Source organism: Homo sapiens, chromosome 16, assembly GCF_000001405.40.
Source record: "Homo sapiens chromosome 16, GRCh38.p14 Primary Assembly".
Taxonomy (NCBI): domain Eukaryota; kingdom Metazoa; phylum Chordata; class Mammalia; order Primates; family Hominidae; genus Homo; species Homo sapiens.
Genome location: NC_000016.10, coordinates 76,712,595 through 76,732,376, shown reverse-complemented (window position 1 = coordinate 76,732,376; position 19,782 = coordinate 76,712,595). Strand labels below are relative to the sequence as shown.

At 35.0% G+C, this 19,782-nt stretch overlaps 1 annotated feature.

The window, feature by feature from the left end:
* Positions 15,092-16,291: an enhancer, noted in NCBI's record as "MED14-independent group 3 enhancer chr16:76749983-76751182 (GRCh37/hg19 assembly coordinates)". NCBI's record gives its function as "activates an origin of replication core promoter dependent on BRD2, BRD4, P300/CBP and CDK7 cofactors, and independent of MED14, by STARR-seq in HCT116 cells {active_cell/tissue: HCT116}" and the evidence as "EXISTENCE:reporter gene assay evidence [ECO:0000049][PMID:35650434]".

Below are 19,782 nucleotides of genomic sequence, written 5' to 3'. Positions count from 1 at the left end.
ATAAGGTCAAGTTGTTACACTGCATGATTCCTAAGAATAATCAGAGTTTTTATTGGTGTATTCAATGGGATTTATTATTTTTGCTTTTCCACATTGTGTTATTACACTGAGCTTCTTTACTATGTAGAGGCATACTGTTTCACACACTGCACTGATACAGGCTGCAAAAATCTTTTGGTTAAACTTTTTAATGACTGTGTATCAATATCATCAATTGAGTGGTAACTGTAGCCAGATACACCTCTTAGTAAAGAACAAGAGTCTATACCAAAACTTGTCTGTGTTAAATATTAAAACAATTACCGTTCATACATTCTAACATTGACTATAAAAATAGTGTGGTATTAAGTTTGGTTCTGATTTTATTTAATTGGATCCATCTTATCTTTGAGGTTTCACTAAATTTTAAGGTACATCATTGTAGTACAGTTCACATATTATTTTCTAAGCATCACTGAACACAGTCATTGGATTTTTAAAAACATATTTGTAAGAAAGTATGTGTTTTGATTTATTTTTATTAAATCTCTGCATGCCATACCCAAATTACTCTCCTGAGGAGCACATGTCAAATTTACACTTTAAAGCAGTTTTACAAGTACAAATTAAATGTCATCTCACACAGACTAAAGTCATTTCTATGAACATTCTCCACAGGGGACAATAATGTTTATATAAAATGGAGCAAAGTAACTGATTAGACCTCAAAAATTAGGACTGGCCCATTACTGGGAAACATCAAATTGTTTCTCTATCAAATATTGTGAACTAAACCTGAACCCTTTCCTGATCCAATCCAATTTGTCTTCCCCTATCACAGGTCCCCAGTAGAAGACTCTTACCAGAATTCCCTAATACAGCTGGTCTCTGCATTTATTCCAAGAGGAAAGAAATGTTTAAAAAGGAAACTTGGCCAGGCTTGGTGGCTCATGTCTGTAATCACAGCACTTTGGGAGGCCGAGGCGGGCTGATCACAAGGTCAAGAGATGGAGACCATCCTGATCAACATGATGAAACCCCGTCTCTACTAAAAATACAAAAATTAGCTGGGCATGGTGGCGCTCACCTGTAGTCCCAGCTACTCTGGAGGCCGAGGCAGGAGAATCGTTTGAACCTGGGAGGCAGAGGTTGCAGTGAGCCGAGATTGCGCCACTACACTCCAGCCTGGCAACAGAGGGAGACTCCGTCTCAAAAAAATAAATAAATAAATAAATAAAAAATAATAACAATAAAAAGGAAACTCTTCTCCTAAGACCATTTCAACAGGGTCATGACCTTTGTATATGTTCTCATCTGCTCTGGAAGTTCTGCTTGACAAAAAGCAAAGTCATCCTTCAACTCCCTGTGATTAGTAGTTTATCAGTCCAAAGACTTACTCTTAGTTTTAGTTTTTCTTAATACAAATGACTTTAACTGATTTTCCACCGGACTGTAGTTTTAACATCTCTTCTGCCTCAACCCATGCTTCCTGAGCTAATGGTTCCCAACAAAAGTCCTCTCTTCTCCTGCTCGGTTGTGTCATTCTGCCTCTTGAATACATCACTAACTTGGTATCCAACTGGCCTGAATTCAGATTCCAGATCTGTCGCTATTACATGTATCATTTGGGGCAAAATACTTAACTTCCATGAACCACAATATCCACATCCAAATGTAGTGCTTACTTCAGAAGGACGATGTTGAGAATTAGAATAGATATTGTGAGTGAAAGTTATTTGTTGACACTTTATAAGGATATGTGATTGGAGAGGCTGTAAGATAATTCCAAACTTGAGAAGACAGAGGTGCAAAGTTGTGGAGAAATGTTACATTGAAACAAAAAGAAAACAACTGACAGAATAAAAGTGAAAAACAATGGGGTATACCATAGTCTGTCACTCATCATCGTATTCTTCAAACAATAACACATCGTATTCTCTGCATTTATTCCAAGAGGAAAGAAATGTTTAAAAAGGAAACTTGGCCAGGCTTGGTGGCTCATGTCTGTAATCACAGCACTTTGGGAGGCTGAGGCAGGCTGATCACAAGGTCAAGAGATCGAGACCATCCTGATCAACACGATGAAACCCCGTCTCTACTAAAAATACAAAAATTAGCTGGGCATGGTGGCACGCAGCTGTAGTCCCAGCTACTCTGAAGGCCGAGGCAGGAGAATCGGCCATACTTAAATATTCATTAGAGTGTTATTGTTTGCTTTCATCTACAGGATGACAATTAAAAATAACAACATTAAACTACATGAGCTTTGGGAAACTAAAATTGATATGTATTTGACTTTCAAGTCAGTGAGAATTTATTTTTAAGAGCGGTCTGTGATTAACAGAAATAAAATTATAGGCACACCTCAAGCAAAAGCATTAAAAATGTAATAGCTGTAATTCTCATAATAAATGGAGGCTTGCATGTATGGGCAATAAATAGGCAATAAATACTACTTGTTAAAAAATTACTCTTTGTCAGATATTCTTCAAAATGTTTTACATGCATCACCTTATTTAATCATTACACTAACTTTATGATGTTAGTAAAGCCATTAGTACCATTTTACTGGTGACAAAACTTCAGCTCAGTAAATATGCATAACTTGTTCAAAGTTGCCAGGCAAATAACTAGCAAAGTCAGGATTAAAACCTCACTTTCTAAACTGCAAAATGTGAGTCATCAGTCACTAGCAGAGCTCCCTCCCTCTGCCCCTTCTGGCCAGTGCTGTGCAAGAGCTGACTCCAGTGGCTTATAAGATGCAATTGTCAAATTGTCAGGAATTTTATGAGGTGATTGTTAAACACAGTCTAAAATCAGCCACAGCGGGAATATTTACATGGCAGAAATTGGCACATGTTATAAATCAGAGCCCCACTCCCTGTCACCAGAGCCAGTTGATAAACACGAACCAGCATCCAACTGAATTAAGGTTTCTTGCTTCCCAAAATACATTAGCATCCTTTGTAGGATTACCTTAAACCTACTAGTGTCTTGGCAAGTATGTTTTCGTTAATCACTCTTCAGCCGATTCTTAATGTGTCACTTTTTTTCCTGCTTAAGACACATTTAACCGATATTTGGACTAACAGCAGCTTATTCTAGATTTCAATACTTAAGTCATGCTTTAAAAAATTGAGCCATGAATGACATTTTTGAGTCATCTGAATCTGTAATATGAATCATTAATATATTAATGCCTTCCTTCTGCCTCTGGCTTTCTTTAAAGGAGATTTCCTAGAGATACTACTTTTTTTAGAAGTTGAGTTACTACCTTCCAGTGAGTCATTTCTAATAGCTTGATCTTAATTGAAACATGTGGAGTGTCCACTGGGCTTGATAACCATTCTCTGTAATAACCTAGAATGCTGTTAATTTCTAAGTCTGTTCATTGTCAGCTCATCTCTCATTTATACATCTGCACGTTTATCACCTCTAGCATGAGTGAGAAGTCATCATCATTGTTGACGGGTAGTTTATTAAGGCTGCAAGTGTTTTTTTTAAATACTGTTCTGTCATCAATTTCCACTAGCTAAATTTATATATTGTTCAATTTTCTCTATCCAACTTATGCAGTGAACGGTATCCAACTTTTAAATGCATACTTTATGGCCCACAGTATATTAACATGAATTAATCAACCACTGAGAGACAAAAAAGAGACAGACATAAATAAATTAAATTATAAATTTATAATTAATAGATTGATATTCTATTCCATTAAAATTAATCTTTATATCTGAAGAAAAGTACAGAACAACTTTAGGACATGCTGTCATAAACACATGGCAAGAGTAATAGAATCAATTTTTAGTGACCTAACTGCCTTTCCTCTCATTCTCCTCAACCCTTTCTTGAGATGAACTGGCTTTGGGTATCATGTGCAATTGAAATTCCTCCTTGGTAACTGCAGAAAAATGAACTTTTACAGTAAATTTTCATAGAGCTTTTAGCCACAAATACAGGAACAATCTAGGATGAGAGGCTTGTGAGAAGAGGTATAGCAAGGTTTTGTTTTCAAGTAAGTTTCAGGAGAAGAGTAAATAAATACTTTGCACAAATACTATCTCCCAAGGCTAAAATTAGTCTATCTTAGTAATTAAATTACTATTGAATGAAGTTCTGAAAACCAAACCTCATTCACAGAAAGCAAACCTGAACCACTACTTTTCAAGAGCATTCCTCTCAGAACTTACCTAAAAAGGCTCAAAACAGTGTGTTAATTAAACTCCTGTTTAATTTCTTGCAATTTCAATTTTGAGGAAATAACTAGAATATTGTTTAGCTTTGCCTTTTTATTCCCATTCTAAAAATGCTGATCTTACTCTTAGGGGCAAAAAAGGAATGATCAGAATTTTAATTGATACCAATGCTATCCGCACACATGTCCTTCTAGCTGCTATTGAAAGCTAGAAGCTAATTTTAAATGCTTTTTAAATTCCCTCAGAAGCAAAAGAGAAAATTAAAAGAAGCAAACCATAAAATATAAATAGAGATAACACCTAGTACTGTAGTCAGGTTTCAATTAGGCAAGTTGTTTATTCTGAATTATGCCATCTTAATGTTTGATAATCTCTATAGAAATAGGCCATTTTTAATGATGAAAATTTAATATAAAGTTTATCCTTGGGAATTTTGATCCAAATAGAAGTGATGACTTTCATTGACTGAAAATATTTATACCTTATTTACAGAAAGAGATGTAATGCTTGACTATTCTAATATTCTAAAGAAAAATACTTCATTGCAATATGAATAGTTATTTTTATGCCATATGAATAGTAAATGCATTAACTTTTCTCTTGTGTACAAGAAATGTATGATCCCCTAGATAGTTTTACTTACCCAAAACCACGTACCCAAAACCAATTCAAAGTGACCTCTGCTTTTTTTCTAAGTTTAACTTAAATTTAGAATTTCAAGTAGAATGATAATTTTATCTAAAATTACACTACCTAGGGATTAGACCCATCAGATATATATGATGATGTACAAATTATTTAGTCTCATATAAATCACATGAATGATTTAAGTCTTAATATTTATTAAGATATATACATAATTGTAACTTTATATAATACATGTTATATAAATTAATTATATTGAAAATACAATTTTTTAATTCATGTATCAAAAGATTTAGTGTAACAAATTACTCTTACAATTACGGTATTTTAAAATTATTAATATCAATTTGGCTCAGAAACAGGTACTAAAAACTTATAGTGTAATTACATATAAGAATTAGCAATTTTTTCAGTTACTTTACTTAGTCTTAACATTGCAACATTCATGATTTTTAAACACATCAGAGAAAATCTTGTCATGGCTGAAAAAGTGTATCACAAACTGACCATTTCTTGTCTAAGGACACTCACTTTTCATTCCTCACCAATTCATGTCCTCTAGTTCATGAAGATCCCCAGATTTACCATTTTTGTACCTTTCCATAATGTCTAGCCTCAGCCTGAAATAAATGCCTTCATTGTTTTATAAATCACATCCATTCTCCCATTCTAGAAATGTTAAATTAATTTCCTAATTAATTTACAGCTTGATCCAAAGTTACAAGAATCCTCTTCTGGCCATGTCTATGTCTTTGTGAGAACTTCATGGACTATTCATATTTCATGTTGGTGAGCCTTTCTATCTCTTCTATTGAATAGACAAGCCCCTGCAGTATATAAAACAAGGCTAGCTATTGTGTAAGGGACCTTAAGCTGTAAGCTGCCCTTAATATTCCAGTTGGTATTTAATAATTACTCTGTCAAAGTTCTACTGAGAAAAAAATTAGTATTTTTATATCTAACATCCAAAGTCATTTAGGTTTACTATCTTATCATGATGATATCTAGAGTGTTATTACTAAATAGAATTTCGGGTGAATATTAAGATAAAGACACTGAAATGTATTTATTCAAATATCTATTCAGCACATACTATATCCGTGGTACTGTGCTTTGGGAGTATTGGTGACTTTTTAACCTCACGGTAGCATGTATCATTAAAAAGCAAGATAGATTACAAAAAAAAAAGCAAATAAATATATCACATAAGATATTAGACATTGATAAATACTATATGAATAATGAGAACAGCAAAGCAGAGTCAGGTGTTTAAAAAATACAGTGTGGGATTCTTGGAGGTGGTGGTAAAATTCTAAATCTTGTGGACATACTAGGATGTATTGCAAACTTGATTCTTTCTGGGAAAAGGCATTCATATCAGATGAAAGAGCCAGGTCCAATGGCCTCAAGTGAGAACATGTTTGGAGTGTCCAAAGAACAGTAGTGAGGCCAGTTGTGGCTGGACTACAGAGAGCAGGTGGGAGAGTCAAGATGAGGTGGGAGATGGTGTTGGGGGCACCCTGAGAGCTTCATGAGCCATGCAAGACCCTGAATGAAATGGGCAGACACAGGAGAGTGTGAAGAGCTAGTTTTTATATTTGCAGAACCACTCTAGTGGTCGTGCTGAGAAGAAACTGACGGGAGCAAGACAAAAGCCAAAGGCTGGATGTTAGGAGTCTACTACAGTGACGCAGGCAAAGAGAAGGCTACTCAGACACTGCGGGCAGCAGGGAACGCTGGTTTCTGAGAGTGGCTGGTTTCTGGGGTATTATGACACATCGCTGACAGATTATGCAGACAAATTGAATGGAGAGTATGAGAGAGAAACAGGCATCAAGGACGACCACAAGGATTTTGACCTGAGCTATTGGAAGGATGGAGTTGCCTTAAATCAGGAAAAATTTAAAAAAGGATGTAAATTGTTGCATAGCAGTAACAGGTAGTGAGGAAGTAATAAAAGACATCTTTGTGTTGGACTGTTTCCTTGAACATTTTAAATATGAAATATAAGTGACATGCATTTATAAAGAATCATTTAAATGTCTTCATTGTTAAAACATATAATAGAAAATAATATGTGAAGCAATGAAGACATTCAAAAGCAGCAACTCCTAAAATTTCCACCCTCTGAAAACAATGATATAGTATATATTTTAAGGCTTCCAAAATACATTGCAGAAATCTTATTAAATTTCAAATGCCATCAATAAAATTATTATTTTACCCCTTCAATAATTAAACAATGCGAGTATTTTCACATGATTACTTGACTCAGGAGCTTGCAAAATCAGTGAGTTGGATACTACATAGAAAGGTGTTCGCTAAAAATGAGTATAGTTTATTAAAACAACTCCAAGAAAACCATGTCTACCTAAAAATTATTGGCTGTGATTTTTATGACTAAAAGTTGCTCATTAAAACTCCTGAAATGTAAAATTCTAATCTAAAAATTTTTTAACTTGGAAATGACAAAACACTCAAAGAAATATAAATGAACACACCTACTCTGAAAGTCAGTCAATAAGAGCTCTCACAGGTCCTAATTTACTTCCAAGGGTATGTGATTTAATTCAGAGAAGTTCAAAGGTTTTATGTAAATTTGCTTTGAGCAACAATTTAAATGTATATCAAAAATTTTAAAGCAAATTAAAAAGCTTTGTTTACAAAATTAATTGCAGATCCACATGAAGTGGTTTCTAACCATGGGCAATGGGGTATCTCAGAAATTAAAAATTCCCAAGTGTTGTTATAAGATTCCATGTTTTATTCTGTGAACGTCAATCTCGCATATAATTACACCAATATAAATATCTACGTTAGAGTAATATGCATTTATACAAATAAATTTACAGATGCAATATATGTATGTGTACTAGCTTCTGTGTATGGATGTGTACACATACACATATTGAACTAGCTAGTAAACGCCCTCTATTTTTAGAATCAGTAAAATATTTTTCTAAATATATATAATCTTTAGACATCTCAATTCCAGTTTTCTCTTTTAAATGCTTTAAACATTTTAAAGCAGTTTCTAGGAAAAAACTTTGCATATCATTACATTTTTATGTAAAGTGATTTCTATGTGAAGTATTTTATATCATAAATCTACTCTTTCCAAACCTACTTATAGTTGTCTCCCTGTTGAATCTGCTGGATCATTCCCAATCCTGATCACTGGCAGGATTTTTAATTTTACATACATCATTATGTAGTAGAGATTGTGAACACTTTGATACCAAGTGGTATAAAATCATTTTTTCATCTTCTTAGAGAATCTGTTTTGTGTACTACCACATCTTTTCTTTATGGTATTCTCTTTAATACTTACTTTTCTGGAATCTGCATAAATATGTGTGTATGCATACGGATATGTGTGTATATGTATGTTATTTTACTTTGTCAGTTTTGTGTAAGCTCTTTGCAAATCAAGAAAATAAATCTTCATATGTGTTGCAAATTTTTCCAGTTTATTATTTATCATTTAACTTACATTTTTTAGTCTGTAATTTGTCTATATATATTTGTTCTCTGTACACACACACTTATATATACACATATATACATATACATATACACGTGTGTGTACAGAAAACAAAAAGTATATGTAGATTTAGATTATTAAAAATATTTTGTATGCATTTATTGATTTTCTTCTGAGTGTGGCTTTTAATACATTCCTTATGGTATTAGAATTTCAAACAAGTCTAAATTTATAAACCAATTATGTCATAATAAAGGGTTTTGGAAAACAGTTTGAAATATTTCACTGTGAAATGTTTACTGAAGGTATTGAAGGGGAGAAGAAACAAAAGCACCAGGTCCAAAATGATACTAATTTTTAAAAGATACATGTTCATTTTTGTTTTATATCACAGAGTGTGTTGCATGAAGAATTAAATTCAAATCTTAAAATGGCAGTTACATATTTTTAAACTAAAGGGAAATAAAACTAGTGAAAGCCTTGCTGGCACAAGAATAAAGGTCAAAATAAGTTTCTTCAGTGTGGTAAAGTAGGACCCTGATGCTGGTCTCAGAAGTTCATCTGCCAATTACATAGTATTTGGTAAGTCATTTAACCTCCAGTCTTCCCACTAATAAAACAAGAAACTTAGGACTGTCATACTGATTTCCAACCGATGTTTTGGAAGACTCCCAAGAACTTCAAAAAATATTGGAGAGAATCCATAAATAACAAACATACAAACAAAACTTTGTATTCAACCATACCTACAACTGGAACCTCATTTTAACCCTTTGATAAATGAGAAAGAAAACCAAACTTAAAAATAAGTGTTAGCTCTCCCCTTTTCACCCAATGTACGCCAGCTGCAAGTAAATATACTGTGTAATGCGCTTATGAGTATGCATGTACAAACCGACAGATACAATTTTTCCACAATCATCTAAAGACTATACTAAAAGGGTTTAAAATTGCACTCCTGTGTGATAGAAAAGGCCTTTGATATGCCGGTGTGGTTCCTCATGCCTGTAATCCCAGCCTTTGGGAAGCCGAGTTGGGCGGATCAACTGAGGTCAGGAGTTCAAGACTGGCCTGGCCAACATGGCGAAACCCTGTCTCTACAAAAATACAAAAATTAGCCAGGCGTGGTGGCGGGTGCCTGTAATCCCAGCTACTTGGGAGGCTGAGGCAGGAGAATCACTTGAACCCGGGAGGTGGAGGTTGCAGTGAGCTGAGATCGCACCACTGCACTCCAGCTGGGGTGACAAAGCAAAACTCCATCTCAAAAAAAAGAAAAGAAAAGAAAAGGCATTTGATATTGATGTAATTTCTTACATAAAGGAACAAATTGGCTTTGCTAAATTCACTGACTTTTAACTCCATCTCCAAGTTTCTATCCTTTCAAGGCTGTCTTGATTAAGATGTGGGAGGGAATTAAGTTTATTCAAGTTGGATTAATGAAACGTTGATTTGAATAGAGTGCTATTTCACAATATTGAGTATTTCCTTGCTTTGCCTTCCCTTTAAAAAAATTATTTTTCCTTACTCCTTGTGTTTAATACATGATTATTTTACAGACAGTGCTCATATAGAGTGTTTCAGAATCACACATGTAGCCATTTTATATTGGTTGCAATATTTTGAAATTATGGTTTCATTATCTCTTGGACTGTTATTTTCAGAGAGGAACAAATATATGTATCAACACCATTATAAGCTTTGGAGGCTTTGAAACACTATTGAGATTGAAGTGCTATGCTTGCAAAAAAAAAAAAAATTGATTCTAACAAACAGCTTGCTTTGAATTTTCCTTTCTACTGAGTTTTTATTTTTTATTCTCACATGGTGTTCTGAAGCAGTTACAATGAATCATGGTGCTGAATTCGGCTTTGCAAATAAATTAAAAGAAATTTTCAGGCACTTCACTTCATCTAGAAATATCACCCAAAGAAAAAAAAATAAACCTTTGGTAGCTACTGTTTCACAAAGAGTAAAAAGAATTGAACCAGTATTACTGTTTTCATTTGACAAGCACAAAAATTGTACCATCTCTGAGAGAGGAACTATTTGTAAATTTCTTTGAGCATAGTTATCTTTGTATTCATTATTTACTGAGACCCAAAATGTTCCTCAGTAATATTGTATTAAATACCACCGTGCTTGAACATACACTATGTGCTTTGAGACATTGATGACGTTGGTTAAATATTTGCTACGGGAAATGGAGTGGCCTGATGGATTGATTTTCAAAGTTAGTAGAAACTGATACATAAAGTCAGGGCCTACTGTCACCTTTGGATGAAATGAAATGTGTTGATCCTGTAAATATTCTCCAGTCAATTTTATAGATCACATGAACAGCACCCCAAATGATGACTTCCAATGTCTCCATCCATAGGTGGTGGTTTACAAATCGTTGCCTACACGCTGCTTCAAATTCTAAATGTTATGAATCAACTTATAAGTAAGAAAAGTTTTAAATAGGTGGTCTCCTTCTGACAGCGTATTCTACATTAATTGTGAAAAATATCAAGTTGGCTTCTCCAGACACTTGTATTTTCGTGTTGTCATTATACAAGCATACTTGCTTATCCGCAAATTTCCTATAAGCCACTTGAACTCTGTCTTTCCAATCAAAGGATGATGAGAAGAAAGGAGAGTAGAAGTTACCTGAGACTGTTTAGTGCCTTAGTTTCAGCTCTGGATAAGTTTTTGTGATGGTAGCTAAACCATGACCTATGGTGAGGTTCAGGGATTACTTATCCATTACGCTAGCTATATTTTTGATTACCATGGATAATAACAAACTATGTTTTATTCTATTTTGAGATAATGAAAAACCTTTTAAATGTGAGTTAGCATGGAATCTGACTACATCCTACCTATTAATTCAGATCTCTGCTGTTTAGACTTCCCAGTACATTCTTATTCTATGTATAATTAATACATTGTGCATATTCAGTGATAATATCAATGTTAAGTCAATTTAAAGGAACTTTCTCTACCTTTTTCTGAACACTTCCACTATTTTTTTTATTTATTGACAATTTATCATTTTTCCATAAGGTTTTGGGGTACAGGTAGTATTTGGTTACATAGTTCTCTAGTGGTGATTTGTGAGATTTTGGTGTACCTATCACCCAAGCAGTATACACTGCACCATATTTGCAGCCTTTTATTCCTCGCCCCCTTCCCACTCTTCCCGCAAAGTCCCCCAAGCCCATTATAACATTTTTATGCCTTTGCGTTCTCACAGCTTAGCTCCCACATATCAGTGAGAACATACGATGTTTGGTTTTCCATTCCTGAGTTACTTCGCTTAGAATAATAGTCTCCACTCTTACCCAGGTCCCTGCAAATGCTGTTAATTCATTCCTTTTTATGGCTGCACAGCATTCCATCATATAAAATATATGTATATATTATTATATATTATATATTATGTTATTGTATATTATTTTACATATTATAGTATACATATATACATATATGTACGTATACTATATATATTATTATATATGTATATATTATATATTATTATATATGTATATATTATATATATACATATACACAGCTGTTTCTTTAGCCACTCGTCGATTGATGGGCATTTGGGTTGGTTCCATGATTTTGCAATTGTGAATTGTGCTGCTATAAACATGCATGTGAAAGTATCTTTTTCGAATAATGACTTCTTTTTCTATAGAACCACCATTTGATCCAGCAATCTCACTACCCAGTAAAAGTAGAACTAAAAGTAGAACCACCATTTGATCCAGCAATCCCACACTACTGGGTAGTGGGATTGCTGGATCAAATGGTGGTTCTACTTTTAGTTTAGTTTTGTTTTTGAGACACAGTCTCTCTCTGTCTCCCAGGCTGGAGTGCAGTGGCATGATCTCAGCTCACTGCAACCTCCACCTCCTGGGTTTAAGCAATTCTCCTGTCTCAGCCTCCTGAGTAGCTGGGACTACAGGCGTCTGCCACCACGCCTGGCTAATTTTCATATTTTTAGTAGAGATGGGGTTTCACCATATTGGTCAGGCTGGTCTCAAACTTCTGACCTTAGGTGATCCACCCACCTCGGCCTCCCAAAGTGCTGGGATTACAGGCGTGAGCCACCATGTCCGGCCCCACTTTTAGCTCTTTAAGGAATCTCTGCACTGTTTTCCATAGTGGCTTTACTAGTTTACATTCCCACCAGCAGTATAGTTATGTTCCCTGTTCACCACATCCACACCAACATCTACTGTTTTTTGATTTTATTATTATGGCCATTCTTGCAGGTTTTGATTTACACTTCCCTGATTGTTAGTGATGTTGAGCATTTTTTCATATGTTTGTTGGCCATTTGAGAATTGTCTATTCATGTCCTTAGCCCACTTTTTGATGGGATTGTTTTGTTCTTACCGATTTGAGTTCATTGTAGATTCTGGATATCAGTCCTTTGTCAGATGTGTAGATTGTGAAGATTTTCTCCCACTCTGTGGGTTGTCTGTTTACTCTGCTGAGTGTTTCTTTTGCTGTGCAAAAGCTCTTTAGTTTAATTAGGTCCCAGCTATTTATCTTTGTTTTTATTACATTTGTTTTTGGGTTCTTGGTCATGAAATGCTTACCTAAGCCAATGTCTACAAAGGTTTTTCCAACGTTATCTTCTAGAATTTTTATAGTTTCAGGTCTTAAGTTTAAGTCCTTAATCCATCTTGAGTTGATTTTTGTATAAGGTGAGAGATGAGGATCCAGTTTTATTCTCCTACATGTGGCTAGCCAATTATCCCAGCACCATTTGTTGAAAAGGTGTTCTTTCCCCACTTTGTATTTTTGTTTGCTTTGTTGAAGGTAAGTTGGCTGTAAGTATTTGGGTTCATTTCTGGATTCTCTTTCTGTTCCATTGTGCCTATCTTTATACCAGTACCACAGTGTTTTGGAGACTATGGCCTTATTGTATAGTTTGATATCAGGTAGTGTGAGGCCTTTAGATTTGTTCTTTTTGCTTAGTTTGCTTTGGCTGTGTGGGCTCTTTTTTGGTTCCATATGAATTTTAGAATTGTTTTTTCTAATTCTGTGAAAAATGATGGAGGTGTTCTGATGAAGATTGCATTGAATTTTTAGATTGCTTTTGGCAGTATGGTTATTTTCACAATGTTAATTCCATCCATCCGTGAGCATGGGATGTGTTTCCATCTGTTTGTGTCATCTATTATTTCTTTCAGCAGTGTTTTGTAGTTTTCCTTATAAGGGTCTTTTGACTCCTTCGTTAGGTATATTCAATTTTTTTTTTTTTTGCAGCTATCGTAAAAGGGGTTGAGTTCTTAATTTGATCCTCTGCTTGGTCACTGTTGGTGTACAGAAGAGCTACTGAGTGTGTACATCAATCTTGTATCCGGAAGCTTTGCCGAGTTCTTTTATCAGTTCAAGGAGCTTTCTGGAGGAGTCCTTAGGGTTTTCAAGGTAAACGATCATATCGTCAGCAAACAATGACAGTTTGACTTCCTCTTTACCGATTTGGATGCCCTTTCTTTCTTTCTTTCTTTCTCTTCTCTGACTGCTCTGGCTAGGACTTTCAGTACTATGTTGAAGAGGAGTGGTGAGAGTGGGCATCCTTGTCTTTTTCCAGTTCTCAGAGGGAACACTTTCAACTTCTCCCCATTCAGTAATATGTTGTCTTTGGGTCTGTCATAGATGGCTTTTATTACATTAAGGTATGTCCCTTGTATGCCAATTTTGCTGAGAGTTTTAATTATAAAGGGATGCTGGAGTTTGTCTAATGCTTTTCTGCATCTATTGAGATGATCATGTGATTTTTGCTTTTAATTCTGTTTATGTGGTGTATCACATTTATTGACTTGTGTATGTTAAACCACCCCTGCATCCCTGGTATGAAACTTACTTGATCATGGTGGATTACCTTTTTGATATGTTGTTGGATTTGGCTCGCTAGTATTTTGTTAAGGATTTTAGCATCTATGTTCATCAAAAACATCGGTTATGTAGTTTTCTTTATTGCTTATGTCCTTTCCCGGTTTTGGTATTAGGGTGATGCTGGATTCATAGAACGAATTAAGGAGGGTTCCTTCTTTATCTATCTTGTGGAATAGTGTCAAAAGGATTGATACCAATTCTTCTTTGAATGTCTGGTAGAATTCTGCTGTGAATCATCTGGTCCTGGACTTTTTTTGTTGGTAATTTTTAAATCACCATTTCAATTGCGCTGCTTGTTACTGGTCTGTTCAGGGTATCTAATTCTTCCTGATTTAACCGCTGTTGCTTTAAAGTTTGTTTTGTGTGATAAAAGAATAGCTACTCCCTCTCACTTTTCTTAACTTTGGATAACCTGATGACAATGTGCACAGGCAAAGATCTTTATGCGATGAATTTGCCAAGTGTTCTTTGTCCAGGTCTCTTGCAAGGCCAGGGGAGTTTTCCTCGATTATTCCCGCAAAAATGGTTTCCAGGCTTTTAGAAGTCTCTTCTTCCTCAAGAACACCGATTATTCTTAGGTTTGGTCACTTAATATAATCTCAGAATTCTTGGAGGCTTTGTTCATATTTTCTGATTCTTTTTTCTTGTCTTTGTTGGATTCAGTTAATTCGAAGACCTTGTCTTTGAGCTCTGAATTTCTTTCTTCTACTTGATCAATTCTATTGCTGAGACTTTCCAGAGCATTTCACATTTCTAAAAGTGTGTCCAAAGTTTCCTGAATGTTTGACTGTTTTTTCTTTAAGCTATCTATTTCCTTGAATATTTCTCCCTTCACTTCTTGTATCATTTTTTGGATTTCCTTGCACTGGGCTTCACCTTTCTCTGGTTTCTCCTTGATTAGCTTATTAACTGACCTGAATTCTTTTTCAGGTAAATCAGGGATTTCTTCTTTGTTTGGATCCGCTGCTGGTGAGCTAGTGTGATTTTTTCGGGGGTGATGAAGAGTCTTGTTTTGTCTGTATTACCAGGGTTGGTTTTCTTGTTCCTTCACATTTGGGTAGGCTCTGTCAGAGGGAAGGTCTAGAGCTGAAGGCTGTTGTTCAGATTCTTTTGTCCCATGGGGTGTTCCCTTGATGTTGTATTCTACCCCTTTTCCTATGGATGTGGCTTCCTGTGAGCTGAACTGCAGAGATTGTTGTCTCACTTCTGGGTCTAGCTACCCAGCAAGTCTACCTGGCTCTGGGAAGGTACTGGGGGTTGTCTGCACAGAGTCCTGTGATGTGAGCCGTCTATGGGTCTCTCACCTGTGGATACCAGTGCCTGTTCTGGTGGAGATGGTGGAGGGCACACTGGGCTCAGTGAGGGTCCTTAGCTTTGGTGGTTTAATGGTCTGTTTTTGTGCTAGTTGGCCTCCTACTAGGAGGTGGCGCTTTCCAGACAGCATCAGCTATAGCAGTGTGGAGATGGCCTGGCAGTGTGTGGGGCCCTAGAACTCCCAAGATTATATGCCCTTTGTCTTCTGCTACCAGGGTGGATACGGAAGGACCATCAGGTGAGGGTAAGGCTAGGCATGTCTGAGCTCAGACTCTCCTTGGGCGGATCTTGCTGCGACTGCTGTAGGGGATGAGGGTGAGATTCCCAGGTCACTGGAGTTGTGTACCTAGGAGGATTATGACTGCCTCTGCTGAGTCATGCAGGTTGTCAGGGAAGTGGGAGAAAGTTGGCAGTCACAGGCCTCACCTAGCTCCTACGCAAACCGAAGGGCTACTCTCACTCCCACTGTGCCCTCCACAGCAGCCCTGAGCCTGTTTCTAGGTGGAGGGTCAGCTGGGCTTGAAAACTTGCCCAAGACTACCTACCTCCCAGAGTATTTGGGGTGTCTCCTGGGTCCTGCAGGAGCAGTCCACTTCCTTCAGAGGGCCTGTGGGTCTTCCTGGGATTGACGATTTGCTCTTGCAGTCAATTCGGAGGTAAAATTCACAATGCAAGCTTCGCATGCTGCTCTGTCCAGAGCTGCAATCTAGTCCTGCCTCCCATTCGCTATGATCCCCTCACTTCCACTCTTGTAATAAATACTCTTTGTTATTCTATTTTCATTAAGAGACCCAAATTTCAGGTAAAATAAGATAACTGCTATAGGAATTAATTTCCTTTTTGCTTGGCAAAAACTCCTACTTCCTTAAATAGATATAGACAGACACAGACATAGGTATAGAGATAGATAGGCATTCATGTACGTATATAATTAATTGAGCATTTGAGTCATTGCTTTAGCTAAAACTGTTAAGTTTCTACAGCTGAAAGTTACCTTATCTGTGGTAACTTTAATTCCTCTCTCTACTGTCTAAAAAGTCAAGTCTCTACAAAAATTCAGGATGTGTTTCTCTATTTCCCTTCAGGATAAATTAATGACTATAATCTGATTACAGATGTACCACTTTCTTCAATCTCTTGGAAGAGGTGGGAATACTAGAGGAAACAGACAACTAAAACTAAATTGTCAAATTAAAGGAAAAATGTGGAACTCTTGACTTGCATAAATAGTATTATTTTTTGTAACAGTAAATTTGAACTCTTTTTTAAAAGCTGCTTTTTAAAAACCTGCCCTTAAACTGTAAGCTTTTATATCATTAAACATTTATTTTCTTCAAGTACATCAAGAATGTCATTCATACAAGACCTTATATTATCTTTAATCATAAAACACAACTAGGCTTATTGAATATGAATAAATATTGTAGTTTGATGTATTATAAAATGTGCTCTGCTTTTTTGAAAAAACTTCTTTTCAGACTAACTTTGGCTTATGAATATTATAACAGTTCTTCTGTTCACATTCAGTGAGCTGAGACAACCTTCAATCTAGTATTTGGAGACTTCTTCCATGAATTTGTCTTATGACAATGCATATTCAATGGCTGAAGGTCTCAGAATAAAAAGCAATATGCAAAGCTCATGACCTTTATGGGCACTTTGGGTTTTGTTTCTCGTTTTTAGTATATCTCATGCCAAAATTTTCATGGGTTCACTTTTCAAAGAAAGGTTATTTAGACTTCATAATCAGAATATATAATGCTACTATTATTTTCCTCACCAGAAAAGCTTTATTTTAGTATATTAAATACATAATAATTATCTTCCTCAATTAACAGCCCATTCTAAATATTATTGCCAGTTTGTCAATGTAAGTATTTGCCTTCTGAATCATTCAATCTTTTATCTAGAAAACATTAGGTTTTCTTTTAAATCACTGAATGAAAATAATATTATTGTGTTAAATTAAACATCGGAATTTAGACGCTGTAAATCAGAAAATATTCAAATATTAGACAGTATTTTTAAATCTAGGGTCAAACTGCATACGAACTTTTATTATGCTTGGAGAAATACTTTCTTATCTCTTACTGCATTTGATAGTACTGTATATTACTGCTAAGTACAAAGTAAAAAAAAAGTTGCTGATAGCTAATTAGCAAACTTTTATGGGTCAAAATATTGCTAGTATATAAAAACAAGTAAAAAATATAATAAGGATAGAGTTAGTATTAAAACACCATTTAAAAAAAAGCTTTCTCTAAAAGCACCCATCCCCAACATTTTCACTAATTATATACTATTTTTAAAGATCACCTAATTGTAATGCCATTTAGATGTTGTTTATCATTCAAGTGTTAACACTGATGCCAAAATGTGATAATTATTGTATGTAAAAGAAAATGACAGACTAATATTTATGAATATTGATAGAAAATTTCTAAAGAAAATTAGCAAAATGAGTACACGTTTCATTAAAAATTAAAATATCATGACTGATTTGAGTTTAACCAGGATTCAAGAGCTACTCAATACCAGAAGTTTTATTGTTGTAACCTAACATATCTATACAGCCAGATAGAAAAAACATTCATGTCCACAAGACCAGAAAATATACTGGATAAAATTCAACAGCCATCTGTGGTCTAAATAAATAAATAATGGAAACCCTCAATAAAATAGGAATTAGTGGATACTTCAAAAGCACAACTCTTACTCAATAGGAAAACAATAAACACTTGTTCACCAAAATCAGGATCAGTAAAGTGATCCCCAATATAATTATCACTACTTAACACTGTATATTGAATGGAATTTTAGCCCAAGATATTAGCCAAGATAAGGCAATTAGTCACATAAAAATTGAAAGTAAGGAAGTAAATTGTATCTATATGCAATTGATATGGTAATGTATCTGGAAACCCCAGAAGAATAAATAGAAACACTAACATAATTAATGACACAATTTACTAAAAATAGAGTTTAAAAAATTAACTTTAAATTATATATACAAACTAAACCCTTTCTATATGCAAACAAGAATAAGTTTAGAAAATATAGTGGAAGAAATGACTAAATTTACAAAAGCCAAAAAACCCAATAAGATCCCTAATTGGAACTTTAACTAAAATGTTCAAAACATAGATGTGGAATATTATTGCTCACTTCCAAAAGACACAAATTAAATATAAAAAATGGAAAACATACTATGTTCTTAGAGAAGATATGAGTTAAAATGGAAAGGACAACTTAAATTTACAAAGTTTAAATAACAGTAACAACACAAACCTCAGGCTTTCTATGGAAACAGATGAGATAATTAAAAAGTTTATTTGTAAACACAAGTGAGTAAGAATAGCTAGACAAAAATCCTGAGAAAAACGACTTGTAATTCCAATTTCAACAATGATGTAATAGCAGGGAAAAAAATATGTCCCCACTGTAAACTATACAAATGTAAAATAAACAAAACATTTACAGGCATTATATCAAGCCATAAAAGACTGTAATATCTTAACAAAAAGCAACAAGTAAGATGAGTTGTGTAATTATATTAAACTTCTGTTGGAAGTCATTTTCCAAGTCAGAACCCAAACAAGGCTGAGTATCCTCCCTTGAATGAAGAGATCAAGACCAGAGCTTGGGAAGGGGTAGGTTGCTGGATATTATGAGGCAGGGATCCAGGAAAGAGAGAGTTATGAAGAACAAAAGCTCCAAAAAATATATAAGGTTGTTCTTGAGTCTTGCTAAGATCCAGGCCTTGCATGTATAAAGGGAAAGTCCATAATGTTGGGCTCATGGGGAACAGTAAGCAGAATAATTGTGAGAGCCCACATAGTGTGGGAAGATAGTAATGTCCAAGCAGTCAGATTAGAGAGAATGTGGTGACTACTGGAGATATTCAGTAAGCCTAATGTAAGAGTGAACTATCTCTGGATTCATGTATAAACTAGAACTGCCCTAGCTTGGCATAAGAATAGGCCTCAGGTGGATCACATGATCCAAAAGTAACTTAAATGCCTGTCAATATTCTTCAGATAAAGATAACAAAATTCAGATAACAAGATAGCCTTCACAATGTATGACATCCATTAAAAATTATTAAACATAGGAAGAAGCAGGCTACTATGCTCCAAATCCAAGAGAAAAATCAGCCAATATAAATAGACACAAAAATGAAAGAAACTATGACACCAGCAGATGTATATTTTAAAACGGCTATTATAACAATGTTTAGATATTTAAAGGAAAACACGAATA